This window comes from Homo sapiens, chromosome 2 (genome assembly GCF_000001405.40).
Source record: "Homo sapiens chromosome 2, GRCh38.p14 Primary Assembly".
Classification (NCBI taxonomy): domain Eukaryota; kingdom Metazoa; phylum Chordata; class Mammalia; order Primates; family Hominidae; genus Homo; species Homo sapiens.
This window is the reverse complement of record NC_000002.12, coordinates 62,452,133-62,477,342: the sequence shown is the minus strand read 5'-3', so window position 1 is coordinate 62,477,342 and position 25,210 is coordinate 62,452,133. Positions and strand designations below refer to the sequence as shown.

At 48.6% G+C, this 25,210-nt stretch overlaps 1 protein-coding gene and 1 long non-coding RNA gene across 5 annotated transcripts in view, besides 2 other annotated features; one reads left to right on the top strand and one right to left on the bottom strand.

Moving 5' to 3' along the window:
• Positions 1 to 23,812, top strand: part of TMEM17 (transmembrane protein 17) — a 52,665-nt gene extending 28,853 nt beyond the window's left edge. Inside the window, exons 1-4 of one of the 3 annotated variants that reach the window (XM_047443708.1) lie at positions 14,123 to 15,559; positions 16,180 to 16,272; positions 17,863 to 18,023; positions 20,592 to 21,482. In XM_047443708.1, the coding sequence (XP_047299664.1) occupies positions 15,554 to 15,559; positions 16,180 to 16,272; positions 17,863 to 18,023; positions 20,592 to 20,658 (327 nt within the window). In that variant the 5' untranslated portion in view covers positions 14,123 to 15,553 and the 3' untranslated portion in view covers positions 20,659 to 21,482. Of the gene's footprint in view, positions 1 to 14,122; positions 15,560 to 16,179; positions 16,273 to 17,862; positions 18,024 to 20,591; positions 21,483 to 23,744 lie in introns of those variants that run through there. The other 2 variants (XM_024452749.2, XM_011532694.3) reach the window with 2 other exon arrangements.
• Positions 995 to 1,727: an enhancer, noted in NCBI's record as "H3K27ac-H3K4me1 hESC enhancer chr2:62702751-62703483 (GRCh37/hg19 assembly coordinates)". NCBI's record gives its function as "activates a minimal SCP1, AML or CMV promoter by ChIP-STARR-seq in primed H9 embryonic stem cells {active_cell/tissue: H9 hESC(primed)}" and the evidence as "EXISTENCE:reporter gene assay evidence [ECO:0000049][PMID:30033119]".
• Positions 13,276 to 25,210, bottom strand: part of LOC105374764 (uncharacterized) — a 48,875-nt gene continuing 36,940 nt past the window's right edge. The window contains exons 5-6 of one of the 2 annotated variants that reach the window (XR_002959390.2): positions 14,025 to 14,306; positions 13,276 to 13,504 (exon numbers count right to left, since the gene is read on the bottom strand). This is a non-coding gene — a long non-coding RNA (uncharacterized LOC105374764). Of the gene's footprint in view, positions 14,307 to 25,210 lie in introns of both variants that reach the window. The other variant, XR_001739095.1, reaches the window with a different exon arrangement.
• Positions 19,955 to 20,514: a silencer, noted in NCBI's record as "silent region_11537". NCBI's record gives its function as "represses an Ori minimal core promoter by ATAC-STARR-seq in GM12878 lymphoblastoid cells {active_cell/tissue: GM12878}" and the evidence as "EXISTENCE:reporter gene assay evidence [ECO:0000049][PMID:35858748]".

Below are 25,210 nucleotides of genomic sequence, written 5' to 3'. Positions count from 1 at the left end.
TCACTGCAACCTCCGCCTCCTGGGTTCAAGCAATTCTCCTGCCTCAGCCTCTCAAGTAGCTGGGATTACAGGTGCCTGCCACTACGCCAGGCTAATTTTTGTATTTTTAGTAGAGATGGGGTTTCACTATGTTGGCCAGGCTGGTCTCAAACTCCCGACCTCAGGTGATCTTCCCGCCTCAGCCTCCCAAAGTGCTGGGATTACAGGCGTGAGCCACTGCTCCCGGCTGTGAGAGAAGGTCCTGGGAGGGATTAAGCTGCAGTTGCTCGGCAATGGCCTCAATAACACACCGTATGTTGACTATCCCTCCTTCCCTCTCTCTCCCCAGTCCCTCACTTCTGCCCCCTAGGATCACCTCCCAAAGAACTTCCAAATAAACCACCTGCACACCATCCCTTATCTGGGGCTCAACTCTCCAGGGAGGACACAGGATAGGAAAGATAACATTCTTCTGTAACCCCAATAAATGCCAGGGCCTTGTGGGGCTCAGTCTCAGCAGGAAGTCCAATACACAGCTCAGCAAGCAATAAAGCTTTTATAAAAAGGAATTTCAGTCTTTAACATTCATAGAGATATGTCAAAAAGCATCCAACAATTTCTAAATTCCCCTTGTCCAGGCCCCAAACCATCTCACAGCTATTCCAGACCCCTTTGGATACCATTCTTGCTCTTCTTCTTTTCCATCTCTTTTAATATATGAATGCATTTCACTTCCCTAGCTTAAATACATACAGATAGTCCCTGATTTATGATGGTGCAACTTAGGATTTTTCAACTTTACAATGGGTTTATCAGGGTATCAGATGCATTTTTTACTTCAATATTTTTTACTTACAATGGGTTTATCAGGGTGTAGCTCCATCATAAGCTGAAGAGTGCCTGTATCCACATAGCCTCCCGCTCCTGTCTTTCTGCAGAAGCTGTTGTGAATCTGCATCACTGAAGAGCAGCCATCTTCTTACCTGGTGGTAGTGGAAGGCTGAGGGACTGCTGCCTCCCACCAATGCCCTCCCTGTCTGGTTTTTGGATAAGAGTCAGGCTGCAAGCTTCCAGAGCATCACAGTAGATGCTGCATAGTGCCTAGAGTGAAGCCCACAGCAAACCTGCAGGGAGCCAGCCTTTTTCTGCAACAACATACATAGAAAATGGGCATTTTTGTGCCCTATATTCAAGAAAATGGATACAACTGCCACCCCAAGAGCTGAGGGGCTCCCTATCTTATTTGACAAAGCATGACCCCCTTGCAGCACATCAGTGGGCTGACCGCCCCCAGTGGGAAGGCTGCTTGCTGGGCACGCAGGCAGTGGCCAGAGCTCTGACACCGTGGTAGGTCCTGGGAACACACTGAGCTGGCTCCCTCTCCCTCAGCTTCTAATGAACACGAGCATTTGCTTGACATTTTCCTGCACATTCTTACATTTGCCAACTGCCTCCCCGCCCCCATCCACACATTCCACAACATGGCAATTAATTGTTCTCTGCTGTTCAGCAGCATTGGTCTGCACAGCCGCAAGTGTAGTCATGTTTTGTTCCTGATTTAATCAGTGGCTATCCCTGACTGTCCCTCAAAAAACAGACAAAACCAGCCAGCTGCAGACCCAGCTGTCAGCGAGCCCGACACTGGCATTCAAGTGGCCGCAAGAGAACCCATACAGTGCCCAGAGAGAGCCCATTCTTTTCTTTTCTCCTCTTTACAATTGACAGGCTCTGAGAAAGGAAACGTGAGCTCTGGGCTTGGCAGCAGGGCAGGAGGCTCTTGTTAACAGCTTGCCTTCCTGTTTATATGGGGTCTGGCAAAACTGTTAATTTCTCTCACGGAGGTGACAAATGGGAAACCCAGAACCGCCAGGGAGCAGCAGCCTAGAAAACAGCCCAGGCGTGACTTGTTGAAGCAAGGCCAGGGGGCTGGAAATGGGTGGGCAGGGACTCTCGTAGGTTCCCGGGCCCACTGGAGAGGACAGCCGCACTCAGCGGTCCCTCTCGAAGAGGCGCTGAGCCCGGCTGCGTGGGCATGCCTCTGCCGCTGTGCCCCAAGACAGGACAGACACAGTGGAGTGCCTGTGGTGCGGCTCAGAGGCTGCTTCCCAAATTAGCATCTGTGCTAGGACCTGCCGGGTCTGTCCTCACCATCCTTGAGTGGCCTTGGTCTGGCTCAGAAGCTGAAAACACCCCAGGAAATACACCAGGGTTGGGCAGCCCCCTTCCTGCTGCTTCTCCTGGAGCTTCTCCTGCAGCATCCTAAACCCTAGGCAGTGTTTCTCCTGCTGCTTGCACATGGAAAGCACCTGGAGAACATCAGGTTTAATTGTTCTAAGATAGGACCTGGGTGCTGATCTTTTTAAAAAGCGTCCCAAGTGATTCCAATAGGCAGCCGGGGTGGTGAACTATCATCAAGGGTAGATTGCTGTTGCTGTTTTTAGTTTCATTATCAATCATTATTATTATCTGAAGTTAAATGCTGGCTTATTTCAAAAGCCTATTTGCAGGGGTGGGATAGAGGCAAGGAACGAGATGAGGAAACAGATTCCAACAGTCAGAGACCCTCGGAAGATGAATAATAGCCCCAGTTTAACTGGGACTGGGGATATGGGTTTAGGGTAGTTTTCCTGGGATGTGGAATTTTCAGAGCCAAAACTAGAAAAGTCTGTCATGCTACCAGCCCCCAGGGCACCCTGGGCTGTGTCTCCCATGGGTTCACCGGCCCTCTGATCCTCTTCAAGGGGTAAGGTCTTATTCATGTTTGTATTCCCCAGTAGCTGCCATACAGTAGGTGTTCATTATCTAGTCCTGAATTTGCTGCCTCCTGTTTAATTCAACAAAGACCCCTTAGCTGCTGCTATTTTATGTAGGAACGTTACCGTGCTTTCATGGCCTGAAGAAAGACATAGTATTATTTGTTCTGGAGACAGACGCAGCTTCAGCGTGGGTTGAAGAGCAGGTTGTGGGCTGAGCTTTGGGAGAGATTTGCAAGCCTGTGGACATGGAATGCTGTGGCTGCAAACATTTCAGGGAAATGGAGCTATTCTCACCACAGATATAGATCTCATTTAAATATCCCTCTCCACACAATTTTCCTATCAAAGCAACTGGACTGCAAAACTGAACTATTTTGGAAGTTTTGTCTCTTATAAAAGGAAAATCAGGATTCTCTCTCCTTTTTTGCTTCAGTTTTATTCAAAACAAGTAAAATAAGGGTTTGTGGAGAACGCAGCAGCTCCCTTCTTAGGCTCTTTGAGGACTCCCAAAGCCTGACAAGCAGGCCCTCCTGAAGCTCACAGTGAAGGCCTCTCCACCCCACCACTCTGGCCCCTCCCCATCCTCAGTGTGGCCTCCCTGGGTCCCTGCATGGATGGTCCTGTGGCTGTGCAGAGTCCTTCTCGTCTCTGTTCAGGAGACTCACACCCAGCCCCTCTTACTTCCACTCTTTCTGCAATGATCAGTTCAAGCTTGGGATCCTCCAAGAAGACCTACTTCCTCCTTTCTCTTCTGAAAGTTTCCAAAGCAAGCAGAGTCTCTGCCACATTGTCCAGCATCCCTCTGTGATCCCTTGTGGAAATTACCAGGTCATTAGTTCCACCAACATGTCCTTTGCTGATACAGTCTCTGCCTACCAGCCCCAGTCCTGGTATTCCTGAGGCTGTCTGAAAATCTGCATGGCTGTGGTCTGCCCACCTGCTCACCATGATGTGTAAACAGTAGGAAAGTGTGTAGATGAGATATTTCATCAGCAAGAAGCCTGGGGAAGCTGCAATCCTCTGCTGCTTCCCTCACTCCCAGCAGCTGAAGCAGGGAGTGGGGAGGAGAGGGGTAAAGCTGGTTCTGCAGCCAAGAGGCCTTGGGTGGGAGTTCTTTGATTTGGCTACTTTCCCAGGAAAGGACATCTCTGCATCCCTCCAGAACTTCCAAGGGGCCATCTCTGCTTCAGGCTACCATCTCTGCTGCAGTCTCTACTATGTTCTCACCTCCTAAGTCCTGGCCAGATCCTCAGCTTGGCCCACAGGGAGCAGCTGAGCCTGGGATCAGGAACCTTACTCTGGATTCTGGGTTTTGGCGGTGTGGTTGGGTCCTCCCAGTACCTTAGTTTTCTTATCCAGAAATAGGGGTTAATAATAGTACCTACTTCACTGGTATTCAGAGGATCAATTGACCTACTTCTGTTAAAGCAATTAGAACAGTGCCTGATGCATAATAAATGTTGGCTATTATTTAACATTCTCTTAATGGAGGAGAGGGAGGGGATAGTAAATCATCTCTAGGTGAGAAGCCACCTGATTTTTGTGATTCCTGCATCCTGAAGTTTTCCCATCTCTGAGTTTGGTTCTTATTGCTAGAGGCAGTTCTGGCCTCCTGAAGAATCTCTCAGCCCAGACACTCCTGAGTTTCTTTCTGTGTGTGTTGTGTCTCCAAAATAGGCCAGCCACGGCTGAGCTCTAAGAAAGTTGCCTTTAATTGCCACCTTGACACAGTCTACTTCTAATTGTTTTGAATGTGTTGATCTTGATATCTTAAACCTCCATGTGCTTCCTGAGGCAAGCAATTCTGTCTTGTGCATTTTCTTTATCTCCCAACTATGCCTAACATAGTTCTAGGCATTGGTTGAGAGACACATTAAAACCTGGGAGAACCCAAAAGCAATCTACCACCCCATTGCCCAGTGTCCATGAGACCAGAAATAATACTGAGGAGATCCCCTTGACCTTGAGCATCTGAGTCTGGATCAGGAAGGTTGGGAAATACATCTGTTTTGGATTTTGGGTAGTTGGGAGAGTGGAATGACAGCCAGCAAAACTTCCATCCCCAGCAGACTAGCCTCTGTCCACTCCCTAAGGTTTGGAGTGAGCCCAAATAGCTTCATTTGGGAGACAGACAGGGGAGACGCCAGCCAGAGCCAATAAATAAATATCCTTCTCTCCCTCGATTTTACTTCCTCAGTGGTGCATGGAAAGCCTAGAGTCTGCAGTAATCAAATAGACATGGACCATGAAGGGCTTCTCATTCCAGGCTGCAGGGAAAGCCCCAAGACTCTGCTATGGTTCTTCATGCCCACCCTTCTTTTGCTGGAAAGGGAGCTGTTTGTGACATTTCTTGTGTCCCTCTCACATTTCAGAGCTTTTGTTGGAAAATACTTTTAGATTAGCATTAAGTCTGTGTTATCCTTTAAAAGACTGGATGAGTAATAAATGAGCTAACCTATCCTATTTTCCAAAAAGAACTCGAAATTCCTCCCACTTCCCTGAACAAAATATCTGTATTCCCACCCACACTCTCAGCAACCTGCTGCCGAGGCTGAAACCCCGCCAAGGTTGGCTTCAGCACTACTGCTCCTGGGGCTTTGGGCTGCTCCCCACTCCAGCCAGGGTCCTTGACTCCGCATCTGAGTTCTTGCTCTTCCAATATAGATAAAGGCACGTTAATGGGGCCAAGAGTCCCTCTGCCAGATGGGCTGAAACACCATAGACGACTATAGTCAGCAGCCCGTGGAGAAGAGTTCAGACATTAAATGCTTTGCTGTGCAGAAGTTGTCAACAAACAGCAAGGCACACCAGCCCACAGCCATTATCCATGCCATGTTTCTACCCTGGCTTCCAGCCTCAGCCTTGCCCCCTGCCCAAAAGGCCCTCCCTTCTCCTAGGCACCGGACAAATTCTAATCTTTCAAGATTCAGACCAAGCTCCTCCCCCTCCCCAGCACTCCTTCAGGATAGGTGCATTTATTGAGCACCTGCTGAATTCCAGGAGTGGACTAGGGATTGAGACACAAAGATTAAACTCCCCAGCCCTACCTGCAAGGAATTCCCAATCTAGGAAGCAATCTCTGACCATTTTAGCCCACAAGTGCTACCGTTCTTTGAACTCCTTTGAACAAGAAGTTTGAAGTACAGTGTAGATCTCACAGAGTCATCAGTCTTAGAAACAGAAGGAAGCTCAAAAAATTCACCTGATTGGTCCAGCCTTGGCTTGGCTATTGTTAATATTATCCCCAACTTACAGACGAGTTAATGGAGCCTCTGAGAGGTTAAGAGCATTGCCCAGAGTCACAGAGTGAGCTAGTGGCCTTTATGTACTCTAACTGCTCTCTGTGTTGGTCTTACTTCCCCAATTGGTTCTAAGCTTCCCAAGACGGGCCAGGACATTTTAGCTTCCCTACCTACAGCCTTTCTGCCAACCCTCCACACGCATTAAGTGCCTAATAAAGACTAGTGACTTGCTGATTGCTCGTGGGCCTCTCTCAGCTCCTCAGGTCACGGGGCCCAAGGGCACTACCTGGAACCCGCAGTCCAGACCCTGCATCTGGAGAGAGGCTGAGCTTCCTCTCCATTGCTCACATTCCCTTGGTGTGGCCTCTTTTTGAGAAGCAGCAGCCTGTAGCCCCCAGGAGAGGACCTACATCTCACTGTTTGCAAACAGGCTTTGCTTGCTCCAAAGGCTCTGTTCTCAAGACAGGCTCAAGTAAGCAGCCCTTGGAACTGGAGTGGTTAAGTTAAATAAGGGTGTTGGTTGCAGTGTTCCTCCTGAGAGAAAATGAAGTTGACCTGATCTCTTTCCCATGAGCCATTTGGAGAACAGGAGATAATAAAGACAGCTGAATTTTCCCCTGGACCGTTCTTTGGGAGCTCTTTGTGAGGGGCTGTGGTCTTGCTGGGAGAATGCAAGAAGGTGAAGAGAAGCTGGTGGGATTGTGCAGGCTGCTTCAAGGTGGACCCCACCCCCAGTGGTGGGCCAGCCACAGTGAGTGACTGAGGACCCTGTGTGCCTGGGCCTCTGGCCAAGGAGGTGAGGGCTGGTTGTCATCCAGCTGAAGGCAGCTGCACTTGTGAAAATGTTCATCTATCGACACTGCACTCACCTGAAATACTACAGGCTGTGGCATGAGCCCAAATCTGCTCATGAATGTTTATCCCTCTGAGGGCAGCCACACCAGGCAGGGGAATTGAGGAAGCAGGAATTGAGAACTCTGCATGGGAACATGTAGATTTCGGGATTCAGATCAGAACCTTACAGTAGATTTGTCTTTGAGTGCAATGTCCCATTTAACTCTCTCCAGAGCCAGCCCCAGGATCCTGTGATTTGGAAGAGGAACTTTAGGACCTTGGAATTATACCCTAGGGGTGGAGAGATTGAGAGAGAAGTGCTCATAATACAGAGGAAAGGTGCCCCCAGCCAAGGATTAATCAGTGTAGTGGAGGAAGCAGACTAATCAAGATGTAATTATGCCAAAGGGAAACAAACCAACTAATGGGTGTCTTCTTAGAGCTCCAAGACCTGAAGGAAGGAGCAGCTTGCTGGCTCAGGGGTGAACTTTTCTTTAGGGGCCAGGAAAATGAGAGGACATGCTGGACATGTGGATCAAGGCCCGGGGAACATGGGGATACAAAGGCAGAGGCCCTGGGACTGGAGTGGGGATGGACTCTCTCAGGGACTGCGGAAAGGAAAGAGATCAGACAACCTGAGACAAACTTGCAGCCAGCCAGCAGGACCCAGGCTGCCCAGGCAGCCAATGGCCAGGAGACAGCCTGCTTCTAGAGCACCAGACACTGCGTCTTCTCAAAGACTGCAAAGTGTCAGCCAACAGAAAAGCCACCTGGGCCTCCTTGCACACTTTCCTATGCTCAGGAGCCAAGAATGTGCCTCCTTCTGTCCTTCTATCTTCCTGACCTCAGCAACTATACTCAGAAGAACAGCCAGATAGTCTTCAAACTGCTGTTTGCCTCCCAACACCTGGCAACAGGCAACAGGCAGACTGATGAACCAACAACTGTAAATGTTTGTTTTCTTTAAATAAAATTCCTTGGAAAGAGCTCTGAAAGTGAGGAGAAGAAATCCTAATTTGGCAACACCATTGAATGTTTGCATTTTCTAGGGCAATTCAATCTCTGGATTTTTAATTAAAGAAAAAAGAAAAGAATTAGCTGAAAAGATCTTGGCAAGAAGCTAAATGAGCCCATGCAGTTTGAAAATGAAGGTAAAAAGTCTCAGCAAAGTTTGTACTTCCCCAAGATCACACATGTGACGGGGTCAGGTGACCTCCCAGCCTTGCATAACATGTCCCATCCCACCCTGATCCCATCCTGGGTCCTCTTTGAGGGAAGAGGTTAGCAATCTCCACAAGCCCAACCAGTTCTATTTGGCCTGAACCTGAGGTTGGAATATGCCACTAGCCAATTTAGGTATGTACCTTCTTCTGTACTAAGTGTTGCCTGTATAGTGTACACATTTATGCTAACTAAAAATTAAATGTGTACCTGAAATATCATCAAATGCATTTGTACATTTCCTGGAACAGTAAAGGTATTGTTTGGCTTGGCCATCTGGGGATGCAATGACAGAGGGTAAAAGAGGTGGGTGGCTGCCATTGCTGGGCCTGACATGACATAGACCCTAATTGACCCCATGGTCTGCATTCAGAAATGGGGTATGTGGGCTTCTAGGTTACCTTTGGTTCTTGTTCCAAGGACAACACTTGGCTCTGTCAAACTCTGCTAGCTCTAGCTACCATGCCTCTAGCTAGTCCCCTCCCACCTCTGAGCCATCCCCCAGTTCTCTGACAGCCACACTTGATGGGCTTCAGCCCCCTGAATCGGCCTTGCTGGCAAACACAAATACAAGCATCCTTGGTTTCTTGCACATATATGGGACTGTCTGCTTATCAGCTGAACCATAAGGGTCTTGCAGTCTGGGACTTTACTCTTTGGTTCTCCCCTGTGTCTCCAAGTTCTCTCTATGGTGAACACTCAGTCCACTGTGACAACCCTCTCCCCCAACACCCACATGCACCCACATACACACAGTTCTATCTAGCAATCTAGAGGTTAAACGTAGATGTGACAAAAACATCAACAGCTCAAGTCAGGACCCCAACTGTAATTCCACTGGAAGTCACTGATATTTTAAGGGGCCAAAGATGACTGTCCCTTGGACTTCAGGCTAAATGTCAAACGAAGATGTGGGGTCCCAATCTTCTAATTTTTAGGGTCTTTTCCATGCTTTGAAAACCTGACAGGGTGTAGGCTAGTCCAGGGATGTGCTGGCATACCCTGCCCCCAGCTCTCCTGAGGCTAGAGAACACACGGCCTTCTCTCTTTGCTCAGCCCTGGGCCAAACCGCAGCCTCTTTAAGAGCCAGCCAGTAAGGCTGCTGGCTGCCTCTGTAGAGTCACGTGGAAGAGCACCAGGACAGGGCTCACCCAGCAGGGGTGAAGTGGAAAGGGGCTTTCCTAGAGGAGGGAAAGGGAATCACTCCAGCCCCCTGCACATTTGCCAAAGCCACATCAAACTCTGGGGCTACTGTTATACCACTAACAACTCCTCAACCCCAAGCCTTCCTAACCAGACCCAGCAGAGGGCATGCTGAGTACCCCGAGGATTTGCTTCCTCTGAAAGACGTCCTGAGTCCTGAGTCAACAAACACTTGGTTTCACAATTCGCATCTGTTTTCTGATTAGAAAAAAAAAAAAAAAAAAGGAGAGATGGCATGCCCACATGCTCCTGCAGGGAAGCTCACCCACCACCCCAGGCCCTGCCACCTGGCCTTTGCAGACTGTGTGAACCTCTGAGACTACTTGGCCTCCATGTCTCTGGAGCTTAGAGGAGCTCCTTAGGCCAGAAACCCTGACTTTCCCAGCCCTGAATCATCACAGCTCCACCTGGCCCTGCAGCCAGAAAACAGAGCCGCTGACTTTCAACCAAAGGGACACGCAGTTTGGGAGGATTCAAACAGGGTCATTACTGCTCAGTCTTTCAATGAGACTAAGCAGAACAAAGCAGGACTGAACCAGAAGAGACAAGTGCTCAGTTGGCACCTGAGGCAGAGCCCACTCTATCTCTATGAGGCCTTGGCTCCTGGGTGAACTTTCCCAGAAGTGTTTTGACAAAGACACTTCAGAAGTCTCTATAGTGCTTCCAAGTTCACATGTTCATCGAATGTTAAAGTAGGAAGGGACTTTTTGTGGGACTTTCGCAAGTCCTTTCTCCTTTCTGGGCTGCAGTTTGCTTATCTACACAATGAAGGGATTGGACTAGATCCGTGGGTCTCAATCCTGTCTGCACAAGAGAACCACCTGGGGATCCTGCAATCATGGGCAGGGAATGTCTGTGATAGCTTCAAAGTAAACAAGGGGCAGGTGCAGGGGTGGGGAGGCGTGGGCGGGGGGAAATGCTGCAACAGGACTGGCTAAGTGTTGAAATTGTTTAAATGGGATAATACGTAAATTGGGGGTAAGAGGGTGGGGTCATTCCATTCCCTGTTTTTCAGAATAAAAAGCTTAAAAAAAAGAAAAACCAAACCACTGATTCCTGGGTCTCACCTGGAACCTATTAACCTGGGCAACAGAGCGAGACTCCATCTCAAATAAATAAATAAATTAAATAAAATGGAATGTCTAAGGGCTCGGGGCCATGGAATTAGTGTTTCGAAAAAGGAGTCCCCAGGTGATGCCAATATGCAGCCAGGACTGAGAATGTTGGACGAAACACTCTCCATGGCCCCGCATGCAGCTGAGCAGTTGAGCCACCCACACCTTCCACCAAACATAGCAAGTCAAATTCAGGTCCCACTTGCTTTGACCTTCTACTGCTGTAGCTCCCCCTCTCAGAGGGGAGATGATGGGCGGGGTCAGCGCAAAGCCCTGCCAGGCTGCAGTCCCAGGTCCTCCAGTTGGTCTATTCTGCCTGGAAAGGTGGAACCCTCAAATAAGCTGCTTCCTAAGGCTTCCAGGGCCAAGTGTGCCAGCTCAGGGAGGGTGGCATCTGCACATCCAGAAAGTTCCAGACAGGACCAGTCCCTCTCCCCCATATGGTGAGCTTGAACTTAGCCTCATTTTCTGTCTCCTCATGTGGCCAAGTAGGCCTCCCACCTCTCTGAACATAGCAAGTCACACTCACATCGCATTTGGTTTAACTTCCCAGCCGACGTTGAATGTTCCTGGACTGTTTCCCAACATCCATTTTCTCCCTTTTGCGCTTCAGCGTCTGGGACCAGCAGGCAGGAAGCAGGCTGAGCTTGGATTTCCACCAAGGATGCTCAGCTTCCAGGGGCCCCTGCAGGAAGGTTCCGCTTTCACTGCCTCCCACCCCAGAGCACCAGCCACAGAACCCCTCCCCCACCACTACCACCCTGCAGAATCAAACCCTACTGGCTGGAGTTTATCCTTCACTCATTGGTGAAGAACTTTACATTCCAAACTCCTAGAAAACTTTTCAGAAGGTTTCCTCTCTCTCAGATCCTTTGTCCTTTATCAATGACAAGGGAGCTCTGCAGGGTAGTGGGGACCCCTCCTGATTTGGGCCTTTCTGAAAGGCAGGAACTTCTTGAGTTCTGTTGTCCCTTTTGAACAAAGGTACTTCCTACTGCCTTTCTCCAACTAAAACTGGCTCTCCAGTTTGGCATTTGAGGCCTTTCCTGCCTCATGTCCCATTATTTCCCTATTTTAAAAAAATTAAAAGACTTCTGCTTTTGCCTGTCTGGTCAACTTACGCCCCCTACCCACCTAAACGTACTGGGTACCTTTCCACATCTAAGTATCTGCTGTTGCTAGTCCTCCTGTTTTTGAATGGATTGCCCTTTACTTTACCTGCCACCCTTACTATTTTTCAAGTCAAATAACAAAAATAATAGAGGGTCAAACTTCTTGAGCATTTATGGGGCTTTAAAACAAACTTCTTGAGCACTTACTGTGTCAGTGCTAAGCACCTTATTTATATGTGTCATCTCTTTTACTCCTCACAAAATGCTGAGTCTTTTTTTTTTTTAATATAGACAAGGTCTCACTATGCTGCCCATCCTGAGCTCAAGCGATCCTCCTGTCTCAGCCTCCCAAAGTGCTAGGATTACAGGCCTGAGCTACTGTACCCGGTTGCTGAGTCACTTTTTAAGAAACTTTTCATTTTGAAGTTTTAGACTTACAGAAAAGTTGGAAAAATAGTACAGAGTTCTGTGTACCATTCCCCTAATGTTAACATCTTACACAAATATAGCACAATTATCAACACCAGGAAATTAATATTGGTACAATACTATTAACTCATACCTCCACAAATTTCTGATGTTTTTCTCATGATTATGAAACTGCCATTGCAAAATTATAACTGAGGCGGTGAAAGAGATCTGACCTAACCAACTCCATCTTGCTTCTCACTTCCAAGCTGTCCTTGTTCATTCCTAATTGTAGGCCTCACCGACTTTGGGAGGAACTTAGTTTATAGTTTAACTCTGAAACAAAGACCCATAACAGCCCTTTCCCAAAACAAATCCCCTCCCTGCCTGGGGACTAGACTGCCCTTGTAGGACTAACAAATTAGCCAAAAGATTAGAAATTATGGCTTAAGAGTCATTCAGCTGGAGGCTACAAGATTCTGACCCTCCCCAAATTGTTCATAGGGATAACATATCTATTGTAAAACCCAAGATCAGCGCTTGAGATATTTGCAGACCCTGCCCTTGATGGATCAGCTGGCACCACCCAGATCAATAAACTGCCTCACTTGATCTACCCCACTCAGGAACTGACTCAGCACAAGAAGATAGCTTCAACTCCCTATGATTTCATCTCTGGCCCAACCAATTAACACTCCTGACTCACTGACCCCTGTCCACCAAATTATCCTTAAAAACTCCGATCCCTGAATGCTCCGGGAGACGGATTTGAATAATAATAAAACTCCAGTCTCCCACACAGCCGGCTGTACGTGAATTACACTTTCTCTGTTGCAATTTCCCTGTCTTGATAAATCGGCTCTGTCTAGGCAGCAGGCAAGGTGAACCCATTGGGCAGTTACAGTTAGATGGAGGTTATGCACTTTTGGCAAGAATACCACAGAAGTGAAGTTTTGTCTTTCTCGGTATGTCATACTGATGAAGCAGGATACTTCCCTGACCCCTCTGTGGGACTCGTGACAGGGGTGCCTTGTTTACTCAGCCCGCTGCGCTCAACTCCTCACAGGAGGTAGCACACAAGTGAATGAGGTGGGAACTGGAGTGCACGAGTGCTGGAACTGCCGGCTGCTTTGGTGCCAGTAGGAGGGCCCTGCAGCAGCATCCAGATGGGGGCTGTGACCCCCAAAAGCCCCACAGGGCGTGTTACAGTGCTCTTTTAGCTCTGCTGTCCACAGACAGCTTAAGTTTTAACAGCTCAGTGGGCCCTTTACCTCGTCGCATGGGGCAGCTGCCCTCCACCAGTGAGGGCAAAGGGCCAGTGTGGCAGCCTTTCATATCCACACCTGTGGCCCCTGAGCTCTTGTCCGGTGTCCAGGAATAATGAAGTCACATGAACACATTGAAAGGTGGTAAATGTGGAGGATTTTATTGCCAATAAAAGTGGCTCTCAGCGGGAAGGGAAGCTGAAAAGGGGATGGGGGGGTAGGTCATCTTCTTCTGAAGTCTGGCCGTCTCCAGTCAGATTCTTCTCCTAAGTTACACCATCAAGCTGCACCTCTGAAGTTAAGCTGCTTCTCTCTGACGTCCAGCCATAGTCCTGATGTCCCGCTGCTTCTCCTCTCTGCCAGCTGAGTCTGGAGTTTTTATAGGCACAGGATGGGGTGGGGCAGGGCCATGGGTGATTTAGGAAAACGCAACATTTGAGTGGGAAAACAGGAATAGAAATTCTCACTTTGGGCCATGGTTTCAGGCTTTTCAGCTTGAGGGTGGGGTTTTCGCTGGGACCCGCTCTTTTCTGCCTAGAATTTCTCTGCCTCCTGTCCCTATCACTAGCAGGTACCTCATGCTGATTTGTCTTACTACAGGTTGTGTCAACCTTGATCACTTGATTAAGGTGGTATCTGGTAGGATTCTCCATAGTAAAATTATTGTTTTTCTTTTCATAACTGGTAAGCACCCTGAGGGAGATACTTTGAGACTATGAATAGCCTATTTCTTCTCTAACTCCTGTCCACTGAATTTAGATCCACCAGCAGATCTTGCCTGCAGTAGTTATTACTATAATGTTGGTCTAATGGTGATTTTGTATTTTACGAGGGTCCCTGTTTTCCCCACTTTATAGACAAGATACTACAGCTCAGATCTGTAACTTACCTGAGGTCCCAATGCTAATAATTGGCAGAGTCAGAACTCAGGCACCAAAGCCTCTGACCCTAAGCCCTTTACTCTTGCGGTGGGGAAATGAACTATATACTGTCTCATGGCACCTCTTGTCACCACTTGATTTTCCTGTGTGTGATCTTCTCCCCCAGACACACAGTTTCTGGAGGGCAGGGACTGGCTCCTATTTGATTCCCCAAGGCTGCTCCAGGCAAGGTCTGGTGTCCCATAAGTGCTTGTGGACTGACTGGTAGCTGGAAGGATTGAAAAGGCCACCTGTGTTGAGAGGAGGAGGTAGAAACTAAAGAATATCCAGCTTCTTTCCTTTTTCCCAGCCCACAAGGTCACAAGGAAAGAGGTGGGGACATACCCAAGTCCGGACAGAGGAAAAATGTGGGCAGGGCCTCTGCAGAGGGGCAGAGGGCTCAGGAGGGCAGATACCAGCTGGATAACGAGTGGGAATGGGTGGGAGAAAGTTTCAGAGAAAAGGTAGAGAAAGGAGGAGGGACCATCTTATCTAGTTTATCATTTTACAGGTGAGGAGGCCAAGACCACGTTCTAGGGCTTTATTGATTATAATCAGACCCTCAAGTGCAAAGTAGGGTTTATTGAAAGTATTCAGGGAAGGAGTTCACTGCAACTCATTGGTAGGAAATGTAGCCTCGAGGGGCCTTTTCAGCTCAAGTGCTTCCCCTGATTACCAGTGTTTCTGTGTCTCTAAATTCACATTTATCTATAATTCAAATACTGAGTACCTTCCATGGGGTAGCACTGTACTGGGAATGAAATTGTAAGCAAAAGCAGAGGTCACCTTAGCCCAGTGGGGAGGGGTGGATTTTTCTTCTCATCTGTCTTCCCTGCGGCCTATGGGTGGGGTAGACCAAGCCAGAATGGGAAGCCAAAGGGACAAGTGCACAGTCCAGAGAGGGTCAGTGACTTGTTCAAAGTCACACAAGGCTGGAACTTGGGTCCTGCAGTGCTGGTTTCAGGGCTCTTCCTGTGCTCAAACATGTTCCTCATTCATCTTTACTTACTTTTTGATGCAGGGAGTGGAGGGTGGGGTGGCCTGAGACCCCTATGGCGGCAAAGGGAGGTCAGAGAGTGTGATGTGGGTGTTTATGGAGATGCACTTGAGTGCAGGACTGGGGCACGGGCTGGGACCAGGGCTAAGGGTGACAGCTAGGCCTACCGGAGGGGTACTGGATGGAGGAGAGAATTGTTCACAAGGAAGCCACAGGCTGAAAACACTGAGAAACAGCCTCCAGGGGCCAGCTGCAGACTTCAGTTTCCAATTCCTGAATTCACCTCTTCTACAGTAATGCCAGCCCACTGGCCTGACTGCCAGGGCCGAATGCCCAGGACCTAGACTTTGGTCTGCACAGTCAGAGGAAAGAGAGCAGGGCAGCAGTGTTGAGTGGAGTGACTAACTCTGGATTAGCAGTGATCCTGGGCTCTCAGCCCAGCTCGGCCATTACAGGCAGTATCTTCACCTGTCAGGCTCTGGTTTACTCACTGGATGCAAAATGAAGGTGTGGGGCTGCTTCCGAGGTTTTCAGTCTGAATCACCGGGACAGCTAATGAGATGGTAAATTCCAGGCCCACCTGAGATCAGGTTCAGGGGGTCTGGAATGAGGCTCAGGGACATGCCTTGTTAATAGACGCCCCCAGAGGGTTCTGGGCCATCCTTAGTCCTGGGCCACATTTTAACCAACAGGAACTTGGCCATCTCCGGGGTCTCTTAAGTTTCCCTGCAAAAAACCAGGTACCTTGGGCCAAGGAGAGGAAGACAGCTATTTTCCTGGTACCCCCTGCCAGTCAGTGTGGGATGGGCCAGTGGGAGAAGAGACTGGGCATCCTCCACTGACCAGGCAGGAATGGCCAAGCAGGACACTAGCAGGGAACCAGAAAACCAGCCCTGGCAGTCAAGACTGGGGGGACTGAACTGGAGGTGCAGAGCCTGCGGCTGAGGGCAAGCTGCACTATCTGTTTAGGTCTTTGAGGTCCCACTCATCTCCAACCCCCGTTCCTTGGCCTGGCCTGTTTACGTTAAATCCCAACCAAGCCAAAGCTCATTTGAACATATTGGTAATCAGGGAGCAGAGTTCAGGACCTGAACCCTAAAAGCACTTTGTGTTTTCTCAAATTCCAGAAGATGGACAAGTTGAAGAAACGTCACAGGAGCCCAAGAGGCTGGCCAGAGAGCCCAGGACTCAGTTCCTCTGTGGGAAGGCACACACACTCTGTAAGTTATAGCTCTGGGTCCCAGTCTGTCTCACTGGGTATGGGCCTTCCAAATCCCCATCTTTCAAGGGTTCCTTCCTCCAAAATCTGTCCTCATCTCCCCAGCCACAATCACCTGCTTTTTCCTCTACAACCTTGTTAGCCAGCCATTTGAATGTCCATCTCCTGCACTAGACAGAAGTAGGGGCTGTTCCACCTTTGTTCTCCGGAGTGCCTGGCACACAGCAGGTGTTCATCAAATCGAAAATAGCATTGAATGAGGCAAGGGTTCCAGTTCAAAAGGTTTTGTCTGGAGACAAAAGTGCTAAGGAGGGGACATGTGCAGCCCATATTAAAAGGACTTTATCTCAGAGTTTATTTCACTATTTATAAAAATAATGACTGGGAAAAAATGCGACCTTCAGGACTAAAATGCCTGTTCTTAAGTTTATCTGATAGCCTCTGAGCAACCTTTTATACATACAGTGGATAAAAATTTTTTTAAAAATACAAATATGGTCTGCTATTCAGGTGGATGCCCAGCTCTGATAACTGGCTTCCAGGAGAGGGAACATAATGGTGAAATGTTGAATTTTAAAAAGGGAGTAAAAGGTTTGTGGGTGAGAGTGACTAATGGCCCTGAGACATTTATGACAAAAACGTGGGAGCACCGTGGCAGAAAGAAAACTAGAAGCTCAATGACTGAGACAAAGACCCAGCAGCCACGCTTGGGTGGGCATGGCGCTCCATGGCTCCCTATGATGGCTCATCTCAGCTACTCAACTGCTGCAAAGGGAGGAGGGAAAACTGATCAACTCATGGAGCCTCAATTCCATCATCTGTAAAATGTGTGCAGCAGTCATTCCTACCCATTGGTTTGTTGTGAGGATTAAATAAGGTCACAGCAGCGCTGGTAGATGCTTTTCCTGAGACCAGAGTACACAGTACCTTGGCCTGATTAATTATATGTAACTATCTACAGGCTGATGTAGAAGACAGAGGCACTATTCAGTTACTCACAGTAACAGGCATGAGCCCCACTCTCCCCTATTTTCATCATGTTCTGGTTTTATGAAACGTTTACCTTACTTTGCTTGCATAAGGAAAACCATTTCATCAGGACCTGAGAAAAATCTAGTATTCAAAAATGATTATGAGTGGGGCACGGTGGTGCCCACCTGCAGTCCCAACTACTTGGAGGCCAAGGTGGGAGGATCAGCTGAGTCCAGGAGTTAGAGGCTACAGTGTGCTATGATCACACCTGTGAACAGCAACCATACTCCAGCCTGGGCAACATAGCAAGTCCCCATCTCTATTTTTACAGAATAAATATAAATTCATTTAAAATGATCATAGCAAAACAATATTTCAAAACAATATACAATGGCATTTGGGTTGATTGTATGCATTCTCTTTTTCTCTCAGGTTAGGAGCTTATGCAGACTACATGAAAATTAAGTATTACAGTTTGTTTGTAAAATAAGTTAGTGTGTAAAATAAGTTAGTTTGTAGTGATTAAAAGCATTAGCCCTGGTTAAGCTTCTTGTAAAATCCCTTGTTGTGACAGCCGGGAAAGTGAGTTAATGAAAATTCTGATGCTCTATCAAATCAGTTGGTCAAGAAACTTGGTCAGGAGGTCAGAAACATGGGCCCTGCCCGAGCAGCAAGTCACCATGACCCAGGCCAACCTGAGGACAAAGGCCTCAACTATTCCTTGAACCATGCTGATAATCAGGACATTCCGAAGAAACAAGTGATGTGGATTTCAGTGACGTAAGTAAGGGGCCCCTGAGGGTCACAACAAGGCCTGCCTCTTTGCAGCTGCAGCTGCTGCCCTCAAGAGCTGAGTCAAGGTGGAAGGCAGACCCCTCAACTACAGAAATGCTGCCTGATATTCATGAAAACCACCTCTGACTCCCAATACCTGTGGCATTCTCCCTGTCATATCTGAAATGTCTCCCTCCAGGGAACAATTATCCAACTATCTTACAATTTTCAGTCAGAAATTCTACAAGCAAGGAAACCACATGACCCAAAAATTATACTCCTGGATATTTATCCAAGAGAAGTGAAAACATATGTCCATATGAAGTCGTACACAAATGTTCCTAGCAGCTTTATTCATAATAGATTGTGAATCTGCCTTAAAGACTGAGGCCAAGTTTACTTCAAAACCAGAATTTAGTTTCTCCTCAAACTGTCTGCAGAGTTCCATCTTGGCATCACGAGGGACTCTTTTGATTAGAGAGGACAAACACATCCAAGACAGCTTTGGACCAGCTGTCACGCTCACAGATGTCTGGGAACCCCAGAGCATTGCCTCGCCCTGAGTTGCTACAGACACGGGCACGCTGTCCAGGAGTAGCAAGAACCTCACCAGAAGGCCCAACTTATCCTGGGTTCTCTCCTTTAAACATTTTCTGGCCTTACCATCAAAATCCAAGCATTCACGGTCTGAATCGCCAGAGCCAGGTTGCAGAGTGCAATGAGTCCCATTCAGCAGCACCCCATGCGTTACCACAATGCTTCGAGATGGGTCACGCTCTGCCCATTTTGCAGATGGGGAAATCAGTCCCTACAGAGGTGAAGTGACTTTCCCAAAGCCTCATGGCTGGTGGATCTTGGGCTGACATTGAACCCACGTGGTCTGGCTCCTACAGTAACTGAGGGCGTGCACTTACACGTGGAATGAACTGCTGAGAATGATCTAGGAGCTGGAGCCAAGGGGAGCAGAAGGGTCTGGTCCTGTGAGGACATGCGCTGTAGATAGGTCTGTCAGCTGGGCCAGGCTGCATTTCCTGTCGTGCTCCATCAAGAGCAGGCTTGCCTCACGGACACACCTATGCCCATCAGCTGGACTTGACACCTTCCTGGGATCCGCCCAGACTAAGAGATGGGATTTTAAAAGGCTTGAGTTCTAACCTTGGCCCTTTACAAGAATTTGCTGAGTGATTCCTCACAACACCCTCTGCAGTAAGTGCTGTTAGCTTCCCCATCTGCAGTAAGTGTCATTAGCCTCCGCATTTAACAAGGGGAGGAAACAGGTAGAAAGGAGCGAAGTGTTCCCCCATCTTCTGCCACCCAGCTAGTAGCAAAGTCAGATCTAACACCCGGGTCTTTTTCTGACCCCAGATCTGGGCTCTAATCTCTGATTTCTCTGAGGCTAGAGACATAAGCCATGAGGAAAACGTTGGTGCAACAAATGAAGGTCTTAGCTCCCTTGCAGTGGAATAGCCGTTCCTGGGTTCAGCGGCAAAGCAGTGAGGGTAGCTGAGGCTGCTGGAGGCAACCGCTCAGGCCAGGCCACAGATAAAAGTGAGAGCGCACCCAGTTAAACTAAGGCCTTAATTACAGGCTTCGTTTAGAGCCTAGCAGCAAAAGCTTGCTGCAGCCCCACAGGTGCTGGACGCTGAGGAGTTCCCACCAGCCTGGCTCAGCCCTCTGCACCCAGGCAGCCCACCCCACCCCCACCTTCCGAAGGTAGAACCACGAGGACTTCCGAATCAGATGCACTTTGGAATGTGAGATGCTCGGTAAGAAGCTCATTCCAAATCTAGAAGTTCACTGGTATCGGGATGTCCTTCTCAGAGCTTTCGGTGCACAAAGAAACGGACATCTCTGCCCCTGAGGCCGCTATTCCTCACCATGCTACCAACCCAGGCTCAGCTCTCCCTCCGGGGCCTTCCCGCCGCACCCAGCCCTTCCTCCAGGTCCGCGACGGGGAGGAAACCCGGCCAGCCTCCCAGCCCGCAACCGTCCACTCCTGGCTGCCACACCCAAGGCAGTCTCTGCCTTCTCTAGAGCGAGAGCGCAGCGGGCCAGGGGAGAAGTGGAAAGACACAAAAGGCTGCGGGGCTGGGACGGCGAAGCAGCAGCCCGCACGGCAGGGGGCTTGGCAGCGGCGCCCGGGGTCGCCGATCCCCGGCTCTCGGCCAGCCCAGCCCAGCGACCCTTTCCGCGGGGGATGCTGGCCCCTGCTGGCCGCGCGAGAGATCGCAGGGTGGCTATCGCCTCGGGAGAGCAGAGAGGCCCGGGACCGGGAAGCGGTGCCCGCCCCGGGAAAGGGGCTGAGCTCTCAGGGCAGCAGCAGCACCCGGCCCCCGCGTGGAGGTGGTTAGCCTGGAGGGGAGCTGGGAGAAGGCAAGGACGGGAGGACCTGGGCGCGAGGCCCCAAGTTCTGGTCCTGTCCCCGCCGCCACCCTGGTAACAGTGCTAGCTGCCTCAGCACCTCCAGGCTCACACGTGCTATCAAACGCCTCATATCATAGTTTCTAGAAAGGAGATGAGTCAGAAGAAAGAGGTGAGAGGTCTCTAGCATGACTGGCTCTGGTCTCCCTCCAGGGCCTACCTCCAGAAGACTTCCTTCAGCCTGATGTCTTCCTCAAGACCAGCCAACCCCGAACCATGAGCTGATGGGGCCACGTGCATTTCACAGGTTACTGACTGGGTGGGCTGAATGATGGCCCCCAAAGACAGCCAGGTCCTAACCCCTGGAACCTGTGAATATTACCCTACATGGCAAAACGGACTTTGCTGGTGTGACTGAAAGCCCTTGAGTGGGGAGATTATCCCGGATTATTCAGATGGATCTTAAATGTAATCACAAGGGTCCTTCTAAAAGAGAGGCAGAGGAAGATTTTACTACAGAAGACAAACAAAGCCATATGACAAAGGAAGCAGACAGAGAGAGAGATTTGGAAATGCTATGCTGCTGGCTTTGAAGATGGGTAAGAGGCCAAGAGCCAAAGAATGCAAACACTGCAGCTCTGGATGCTAGAAAGGGCAAGGAAATGTAGAGCCCCTGCAGGCTCTGCTTACCCCTTAATTTTGGCCCAGTGAAACTGATTTCAGATTTCTGATCTGCAGAACTGAAAGAGAATAAATGTGTGTTGCTTTCAGCCACCAAGTTTGTGGCAATTTGTTACAGCAGCCACAGGACGCTAATACATGACCCTTTACTCTCTGACTCTTGTACTCAGCACTTGGGATCAAACAGTGAACCCGATAAACCTCTACACCTCCCAGGGAAATTGACCATCTCTCTGTCTCTGGATTTTAAAAAGGAACAGCCACGTAGACATTTTATCAAAGATATATGAATGGTCAATAAACACATGAAAAGAAAATGCACAAAATCATTAGCATTAGGGCAATGAAAATTAAAACCACAATGAGATACCACTTCATACTCACTAGGATGGCTATAATAAAAGACAATAACAAATGTCAAAAGTGTGGAAGAACTATAATTTTCATATATTGCTGATGAGATTGTAACATGGTACAACTGACTTGGAAAATAGTTTGGTAGTTTGTTTGGTTTTTTGAGACGGAGTCTTGCTCTGTCGGCCAGGCTGGCGTGCAGTGGTGCAATTTCGGCTCACTGCAACCTCTGCCTTTCAGGTTCAAGCAATTCTCCTGCCTCAGCCTCCCGAGTAGCTGGGATTACAGGCACCCACCACCACACCCAGCTAATTTTTGTATTTTTAGTAAAGACGGGTTTTCACAATGTTGGCCAGGCTGGTCTTGAACTCCTGACCTCTGGTGATCCACCCGCCTTGGCCTCCCAAAGTGCTGGGATTACAGGCGTGAGCCACTGTGCCCGGCCAGTTTTTAGAAGTAATTTACCCAAAATAAGCACATACTCCAAATATATGTGCATATAAGAACAGAAGCTATGAATGTTCATAGCTGCATTATTCATAGCTGCCCAAACCTAGAAATAAATGTTCACCATCAGTGAATGAAAATGTGGTATTTGCAGTGGAATATTACTCAGCAATATAAAGGAACAGATTACTGTTATGCTACAATATGGAGGAGTCTCAAGAACATTACACTAAGCAAAAGAAGCAAGACACAGAAGACCACATATTGTATTATTTATATGAAATGTCAAGAGGCAAATCCATAGAGACAGAAAGATTAGTGGTTGCCTGGGACAGGGACAGGGTGGGAATGGGAATGGGAATGCTACAAGTAGGAGTATCTTTGGAGTGATAGCATTTTAAGGTTGGATTGTGATGGTGGCACAACTCAAAATGAATTTTATGATATGCAAATTGGACCTTCAATAAAGCTGGGTCTCGGCTGGGCACAGTGGCTCACGCCTGTAATCCCAGCACTTTGGAAGGCCAAGGCGGGCAAATCACTAGGTCAGGAGATCGAGACCATCCTGGGCTAACACAGTGAAACCCTGTCTCCATTAAAAATACAAAAAAGTTATCCAGGCGTGGTGGCAGGTGCCTGTAGTCCCAGCTACTCAGGAGGCTGAGGCAGGAGAATGGCGTGAACCCAGGAGGCGGAGCTTGCAGTGAGCTGAGATCGTGCCACTGCACTCCAGCCTGGGCGACAGAGTGAGACTCCATCTCAAAATAAATAAATAAATACATACATAAATAAATAAAGCTGGGTTTTTTGTTTTATTAAAGGCAAATCTAGGATATAGGATAATAAAACCTCAAACCTCACAGGAGTATTTGCATTTTAAGAGCGGGACCTTAAAGATTTCAAAACCTACAGTATGATGGAAAGCCTGGTGACAGACCACACCTGGGGACTATGGCCCAGCACTTCTCTGGATCATCCCAGTGGGCAGCCCTACCATCCTGTACCGCAGCTATATTGTGCCACCTTTTACATTCTGGGGAGCAGTGGGAACAGAGCTGCACACTGTTTGCCTCATACCTTTACCAGGGCTCAACATGGAAGCCAGTACATGCTTCATGCAGCCACGATTCACACAAAAGCACCCCATGCCTGATGCCTCTGCTTTCCACGAGGGAGGCATGGAATCTGCTCCTCCCACCCCCAGAGCTGGGTCTGTGGAGACACTGCATTCCCCTCCTCTCAGTAGGGTCCTGCACCTCATCCCATCCAGCTCTCCCCAGCTCCACTCTGCCGACTAGGCTGCTCTCCAGGGAGGTTAAGATGTGGGAGCTGGGCCAGGAGGCTGCTGCAGCAAGATCAGAGCTGCCAATCCCATTTAGCTCTGCATCTCTCAAAACGCTAAGGCCAGCTTACAGGCACCCCTCATCCTGAAGCTTTCCTTTAAGTAAAAGAGTTCCTTCTAGAAAACAGGCCCATGCCTGGCACTGCAGAGAATGTGGCCCTGCTTCCAGAAACTCAGGACCCACCCTGCCTAACTCAAAGTTTTTCTTCTTGATCTACTTTACAAATTTCTCCCACTCTTACCTCCATGAGATGCAAGCACAGGCAAGTATCTATTCTCTCATGGCATGTGAATTCCCCCACCCTTTAGCTCAGTCTAATAAAAGCAAGCAAACCGTGGGTGAGAACCATATTTAAGACCTCTAGCATCCTCTCCAATGGTCTCCCCTGCAAAATGACAAGTGTAGGCCTAAAACAGAGGAATGGGAATAGCCCCACTTTTAAGAGTAAAGGAGTCAAACATTGCTGGTAGATTTTAAAAAGGTCTACAGAGGTTTTTGTTTATTTTTTTAAACTACACATAAAAGGTTTTCTTTTATTTAGGGTGAAGCTGTCAGGCTCTAATAGCAGCCTGGCATAGACAGTGGCCAAAACAGGAACAGAAGACAGGATCTTGTAATACAAAATAAATACAAACTTGTAATCCAATAAAATACAACTGAGGGTGAAGGAAAAAGGAGGAGGAGGTCTCACCCCGCACCCAGCCTAAAAGGAGAAGAAAGTGCTGAGGCCAAGTAAGTTTTCTAAAACATGTTAACAGTTCCTTGTGTGTCCATCACTAAACTCATTCATTAACTTTCCAAGTTGGTGCCGTGTGCCTCCTGCTCCCCTGGACACCTCCTGCAGACCACACTCATCACTGGAGTATCTGAGTCACCAGAGATCTACCTCAGCCCATTGTTGGGACTACAGGCTGGGTCTTGATGCAGAACATACAGCATACAGGCCTTCTCCCAGGGAAAGAGTCAGGAGCCCAGCATAATTTACATCACAGACAACAAGGATGATGCACAGGATGGGACTCAAGCTGCTTCTTCCTAAGTTCGCAGAGAATCTATGTGACTTGATGGCACCTCCAACAGGAGACAAGGTGGTCCTCTCTCCCACCCTGCTTTATGGACAGACATCAGGGAGGCAGCAGGCCTCTGATTGCTCCCTCCACACCTGTGGTTCCTAACTCTGATGAACCTTCTTGCCCTGAGCACCATCTGGAACCTTGGCATGCAGCTTAGGTTGGCAGGAGATGAAGGGAGGGAGCTTACAGAAGTTCCTCAAGTCAGCCGGGCATACTGACTCATGCCTGGAATCCCAGCACTTTGGGAGGCCCAGGCAGGTGGATCACCTGACGTCAGGGGTTCCAGACCAGCCTGGCCAACATGGCGAAACCCCATCTCTACTAAAAATACAAAAAATTAGCCAGGTGTGGTGGTGCGCACCTGTAGTCCCAGCTACTCAGAAGGCTGAGGCAGGAGAATCACTTGAACCCAGGAGGCGGAGGTTGCAGTGAGCTGAGGTCTTGCCACTGCACTCCAGCCTGGGCAACAGAGCGAGACGCTGTCTCAGAGAGAGAAAAAAAAGAAATTCCTCAGGTCAAAAGTAGGTGCTGTAAGTGGGAACTCCAGTGATGCTGTGTTCTGACCCAGAGAATTTGCCTTCCTCACGTACGTTCTAGTTACGAGTCACACAAGACCAATGCTAACATATGCAAGATTGCAGTAAGCACAGCAACTCCAATCAGCAGGCCCAGGTAGTTAAAGGATAATCCAACTCCTGAAACACAAAGGAATTTTTTTTTTAAAGGGAACTAAGTAACACGCCCCTTCCTAATGGGCCCTCAAAAGCACCTTCAGAGATTTATGCTCTTATACCCATCCCTAGCATATTGTCAGGCACATCATAGGTAAGTATTTTTTGAGAAAATAAACAAATGCTAACATTTGATTAAAAGCCAAAGCCAGACTTGGAACAAATGAACCTGGTAATATAAGGGCTCGCCACCTATTTTTGCT